Genomic DNA, 6,868 nt, shown 5'->3' with positions numbered 1-6,868 from the left:
GGCTGCTTCAGCCTGTGTCTGAAGGGGAGCTCTGAAAGGTAAGTTATGCCTGAGTTGTCCTGACTGGAGGGGAAGGGAGCTGGTCTTTCATAGTTCTGCGCCAACCAGTCCCCTTGGGGGCATTGTGGAATGGGGGAAAGTAAATTCCCAGGCATGTTCTGATGTTGGCCAAGTGGGATCCAGTGTCTTCTGAAAAACAGCCTGGGGTTTGTTGTTGGAAGCAGAAACACACAAATAGGTAAAAGGGGATCTTAAGATACTGGGGAGAAATATTGACAGTGTTTGCAACACTCTATCTGTTCCCCCTACATACATTCTCTACTTCCTGGGCATGTGGTTAGATTGCATGCATTTCCCAGCCTCCTTGCCAAGTGTGGCCATGAAATTATGTTTTCTTGCAGAATGCGGGGGTAGTGATGTGTGCCACCTCTGAATCTAGGGTAGCCTCATCCATTCTGTCTTTCTCCTCCCTGCTGGCTGAAACTCAGGGTGACTCAGCTTATAGTATAGAGCTAATGATAATGATCTTAGGAATGGTAATGCAGCATAATAGAAGTACTGGAGTCCCCAAATGACTTCATAGAGCAGTTTCTTGATGATCCAGAACATTTACCTTGGACTGTTAAGTAAGAGAAACAAACTTCTTTTTCAAACAACTGCATTATTTTTGGGTCTCTATCATAGCAGCCTAGCATTTTTCTAGTTAATACAAGATGTTTTATTCTTATCATAACATTATATGATATTATAGATCAATTTTTATAGTTTTTATTGTTTATTTCTCCTACTAGAATATACACTATGTGGGAGCAAGAGATTTGCCTATCCTTTTCTTGCTGGTACAACAAACTCAATAAGTACTTGTATTGTTCTACCTAACCCTATAATAATTAAAAATAAAACACATTACAATTTAAGAACTTACTGTAATGCCACATTAGAAGTGATATATAACAAATGGAAAGAGTTTAATTAAAATTAACCCAAATGATTAATGAGATAAAATATTGATGTGTTAAAAATGGAGAGGAGATAAATTACATGCTTTTGAAAAAACAAGGCCGAAGGGCACCATGGTAACTGTTTTTGCGTATTGGCAAGGTGATTATAAAGAGGTTGGTGTTCAACCGTTTTCCATGTCTGCAGAGGAAAAACTAGCAGGAAAGAGCTTAAACCGACCTGACAGTAATAGTGATTAAACATTAGAAAAGACTCCAGAGTAATATTGTAGAATCTCCGTCCCTAGTGAATTTTAAGGACAAACCATCTGTCTTAGACATTTCAGGCAGACCCCTTGCAGGAAGAAAGAGGTCTGGATTAAATGACTCCTTAAGCTAGCTCCGTTTCAATTCCAGGAGTCTGTGCCACTATACAGGGGATCTGGCAGTGACATCTTTCACTCCATTGACTAGCCTGACTGTGGCATCTCTTATCAGTACCTTGAGAGAGTTATTTCTCTGGATGAGGCTGGTAGAGAGGAGAGTAGGGAGTAGAAAGACTAACCTCCCAAAATAATGATATTAAAAAGTATATTTTGCACCTAGAACTCTAAGATACTAAGTAATTTCTACATGCTCAACAAACTTTAACTGGAAAAGTCTTAAGACTTTAGTGCATTTAAATTGCTATGTTTTATTTAATAAGATTAACTGCTATAGCAATGATGAAAATACAATAATTTAATGTGAACAGTGATTCTCCTGCCTCAGCCTCCTGAGTAGCTGGGATTACAGGTGCGAGCCACCACACCCAGCTAATTTTTGTATTTTTAGTGGAGGTGGGGTTTCACCATGATGGCCAGGCTGGTCTCAAACTCCTGACCTCAAGTGATCCACCCGTTTCAGCCTCCCAAAGTGTTAGGATTACAGGCATGAACCACCACGTCCAGCCTAAAACTGTTTATTTTAAAATAAAGTTTGTGCATTCTAATAATTAAAATCATTTGAACAAGAAAAATGGCACTCTAATTAAACTTCATTTAAACTGCATTTGAGAACCTGCAGGACACCTTGGGGCAGCTTGGTTTTACTCTAGATTTACCTGTCTTCCTACTCTTCTTCTTCCTTCACCAACATGCAAGTTATTTTCCTTCCTTGACAGCCAGACAAGCAGATGGGAGAGGTAGGTGTGGCCTTCATCGTCAGCAGTTTTCTATTGTTTGATGTGAAAAGGGCAGCAAAGTCCTTTAAAAGTTGATCCAACCTCTTTGCATCTTACAAAATTAACAGCTAAAATAAGTAAAATAAGAAGGCAATTCTCGTTGAATGTACAGTGCATATTGGCGGCGCATGCCTCCGTAAGATTTGTCTGCCTGCTTCTCCTGTTCTATTGTTTCTTCGGAAGGCAGTGGATTTTTCTCTTGCAATTCTGTCTTCTTCTATTTTTGACATCAAATTTCTTGATCTCAGCCATATCAGGTTTGTCAGACATGATATGTCTTGACATATCATGTGTCATATGATCTGTCACAGAGGAAGTGGAGTGAGGCCCAGAGTGAGCAGAATCTAGTTTGTGCAGTGGCCACCACCTAGTTAGAAATTATTTTTAAAAAACCTAAATGAAAATTTTAGACCTAAAAAATAGCATACTCAAAAATTCACTGGATGGGCTCAATAGCAAATTGCAGATGACAGAGGAAGAGTTGATGAACTTGAAGATAGATAATAGATAGCATCTAATCTGAGAAACACATTATAGATTGAAAAATCAATAAGCAAAGCCTCAGGGACCTGTGGGACAATATCAAAAGGCATATATAAATTATATCTCAATAAAACTGTAAAAAAGGGCCAGGCGTGGTGGCTTACGCCTGTAATCCCAGCACTTTGGGAGGCCAAGGCGGGCGGATCATGAGGTCAGGAGTTCGAAACCATCCTGGCTAACACAGTGAAACCCCGTCTCTACTAAAAATATAAAAATTATCCGGGTGTGGTGGCACCCACCTGTAATACCAGCTACTCAGGAGGCTGAGGAAGGAGAATAGTTTGAACCCGGGAGGCGGAGCTTGCAGTGAGCCAAGATCGTGCCACTGCACTCCAGCCTGGGCGACAGAGCGAGACTCCATCTCAAAAAACAAAACCAAAAACAAACAAACAAAAAACTGTAAAAAAGTAGATATTGTAAGATTGTATAAAAAAGGCCTGACTAGATATTGTTTACAAGAAACCCACTTCAAGTATAAAGCTATAGGATAGGCTTAAAGTAAAAGTATGAATAAAGGTATACCACACAATCACTAATCAAAACAATGCTGGAGTAGCTATCTTAATGTTAGGCAAAATAGTCTTTAGAATAAAGAATACTATCAGGAATATAAAGAAACATCACATGATGATAAACAGTGAATTCACCAAGAAGATATAACAATCTTAAATGTGTTTATACCTAACAACAGAGCTTCAAAATACATAAAGCAAAACATGGTAGCAATAAATCCACAATTACATATAAAGACTTTAACATCCGCCTCCTAGTAATTGATAGAAGTTGACAGAATGTTATAAGGATATGAAAGACTGGAACAATACTTTTGAAACCAACTATATTTAATTGACATTTATAGAGTACTCCACCCAACAATATTAGTATGCACATTCTTTTCAAATGTTGTATATGGAACATTTATCTAGAAAGACAATATTCTGGCCAATAAAACAAACTATAACAATGTTTTTTTTTTTTTTTTTTTTTACACAGAGCCTCACCCTGTTGCCCAGACTGGAGTGCAGTGGCACGATCTTGGCTCACTGCAACCTCTGCCTCCTGGGTAGAAGTGATTCTCCTGCCTCAGCCTCCCTAGTAGCTGGGATCACAGGCGCCCACCACCACGCCCAGCTAATTTTTGTATTTTAGTAGAGACAGGGTTTCACCATGTTGGCCAGGCTGGTCTCAAACTCCTGATTCAAGCAATCCACCTGCCTCGGCCTCCCAAAGTGCTGGGCTTACAGGCGTTAGCCACCCCGCTTGGCCCAAATTTCTTTTTTTTTCTGAGTTGGAGTCTCGCTCTGTCACCCAGGCTGGAGTGCAATGGTGCGATCTCAGATCACTGCAACCTCTGCCTCCTGGGTTCAAGCGATTTTCCTGCCTCAACCTCCCGAGTAGCTGGGATTACAGGTGTGTGCCACCACACCTGGCAAATTTTTGTATTTTTAATAGAGATGGGGTTTGGCCATGTTGGCCAGACTGGTCTCGAACTCCTGACCTCAGATGATCTGTGCCCTGGCTTCCCAAAGTGCTGGGATTACAGGCGTGAGCCACCACACCCGGCCACAACAAATTAAAAAAAATAATAATACAAACCGTGACCTCAGATCATCAAATAATTAAATTAGAAATAAACCACAAAAAGATATTTGGAAAATCACCATATATTTGGATATAACACACACAACACAATTTCTAAATACAACATGGGTAAAAGAGAAAGTCACAAGGGAAATTAGAAAACATTTTGATTGAAGGAAAATAAAAATATAACATCAAAATATGGGGATGGAGCTAAAACAGTGATTAGTAAGAAACCTGTAGCATTAATTGCTAAGATTAGAAAATAAGTATGTCTTACATCAGTGACCAAAATTTCCACTTAAGAAATGAGAGAAGAGCAAGTTAAACCCAAAGCAAACAGATAGAAGGAAATGATGAAAAGCAAAAGTCAATGAAATTACAAGTAGAAAAATAATAGAGAAAAATCAATGAAACAAAAAGCTTATTTTTTAAAAAAGATAAACCTTTAGCCAGACTGAGAAAAAGAGAGAGAGAAGCTATAAATCACCAATATCAAACATGAAAGTAGCAGGGCCGGGAGCGGTGGCTCACGCCTGTAATCCTAGCACTTTGGGAGGCTGAGGCAGGCAGATCACTTGAGGTCAGGAGCTCGAGACTAGCCTGGCCAAAATGGTGAAACCCCGACTCTATTAAAATACAAAAATTAGCCGGGTATGGTGGCATGTGCCTGTAGTCCCAGCTGCTCGGGAGGCTGAGGCAGGAGAATCATTTGAACCCAGGAGGCGGAGGCTGCAGTGAGCTGAGATCACACCACTGCTCTCCAGCCTGGGCAACAGAAGGAGATTCTTTCTCAAAAAAAAAAAAGAAAAAAAGAAAAAAGAAAAAAAAAGAAAGTAGGGACGTCATCACTGATCCTTCTGACATGACAGACATTAAAAAGCTAATAAGTGGCTGGGTACAGTGGCTCATGCCTGTAATCCAGCACTTTGGGAGGCTGAGGTGGGCAGATCACCTGCGGTAAGGAGTTCAAGACCAGCCTGGCCAACATGGCGAAACCCCGTCTCTACTAAAAATACAAAAATTAGCTGGGTGTGGTGGCACACACCTGTAGTCCCAGCTACTCGGGAGGATGAGGCAGGAGGATCACTTGAACCTGGGAGGCGGAGGTTGCAGTGAGCTGAGATTGCGCCACTGCACTCCAGCCTGGGCAACAGAGTGAGACCCTGTCTCAAACAAACAAAATAAAAAACAAAACAAACAAACAAAAGCTAATAAAGGAATACTGTGAACAACTTTATGCTAGTAAATTTGACAACTTTGATGAAAGAAATCAATTTCTTGAAATACATAAACTGTTAATGCTCACTCAAGAACTAAATCATCTGAATTATTTTACATTTATTGAAGATTTTGAGTTTGCAGTTAAAAACTTCCCAACAATGAAACTGGTTTTGCTGGTTAGTTCTACCAAACACAAATACCAATACGTCACACTTTCTCTCAGAAAATAGGAGGAGAGAACACTTCCCAACTCATTTACCAAACAAAGACATTCCATAATAAGAAAGGAAACTAGAGAGCAATATTCCCATAAACATGGATGTGAAATCCTTAACAAAATACTAGTAAATTGAATCTAACAATATATAAAAAGAAGAGCATGTCATGACCACATAGAGTTTATTCCAGGAACACAAGGCTTGTTCAAGATTTGAGAGTCAATGTCATTCATTATAGCAACTTAGTAAATAAGAAAAACCACATGATCATCTCAGTAGTTGCAGAGAGAGCATTTGACAAGATTCAAAATCCATTCATGATAAGTATTTTCCACAAACTAGAAAACCTCCTTATCCTGATAAAAAGATCTACATCTAATGTATTACAAGTGAAAGATTGAATGTTTTCTCCCTAAGACTGAGTTTAAGGCAAGGATGTCTGCTTTCACCACTCCTTTTCAACATTATCCTGGAGGTACTAGATAGTGCAGCAAGGCAAGAAACAAGATTTTTAAAAAAATACAGCTTGGAAAGGAAAATATAAAACTCTCTGTTCAGACTATGTGATTTTTATATAAAAAACCCCGAGGAATCTATAAAAAGAGTCCTAGAATGAATTAATCATTTTAGAAAAGTAATATTATAAATAAAAGGTACAAAGATAAACATATTTTTTATTTCTAAATGTTGCCAGTAAATATTTGGGAATCAAAATTTAAAACACAGTATAATTTATAATAGTACCAAAAATGAAATAATTAGCTATAAATTTAAAATGCAAAACTATGCAGGATTTATATGCTGGAAACTACAAAATAATGATAAAGGAAATCAAAGATCTAAATAAATGGATAGAAATACTGTATCCATGGATAGGACAACTCAATATTGCTAATAAGCCAATTTTTCTCGAAGTGATATATAGATCAATGCAACCCCAATAAAAATCCCAGCAAGATAGTTTTCTAGAAATTGAGGTTTATTTAAAAGTTCATATAGAACTAGGTTAGCCAAAACAATTTTTAACAAGAACAAAGTTGGAGGACTCATACTACTTCATTTCAAGACTTACTGCGAAGGTATAGTAGCCAACATGGTGTAGCAAAAGGCAAAAATAGAGAACATGGATCAATGAAAAGAAG

The 6,868-nt window shown here is 38.4% G+C and overlaps 1 pseudogene; it reads right to left on the bottom strand.

Moving 5' to 3' along the window:
* Nucleotides 1-1,883: 1,883 nt before the first annotated feature.
* Nucleotides 1,884-2,825, bottom strand: LOC107985963 (thymosin beta-4-like; annotated as a pseudogene).
* Between the last annotated feature and the right edge of the window lie 4,043 nt (nucleotides 2,826-6,868).

The sequence above is a fragment of the Homo sapiens genome, chromosome 2 (assembly GCF_000001405.40).
Source record: "Homo sapiens chromosome 2, GRCh38.p14 Primary Assembly".
NCBI classification, from domain to species: Eukaryota; Metazoa; Chordata; class Mammalia; order Primates; family Hominidae; genus Homo; species Homo sapiens.
The sequence above is the reverse complement of the archived record's forward strand: the minus strand, read 5'-3'. Positions and strand labels throughout refer to the sequence as shown.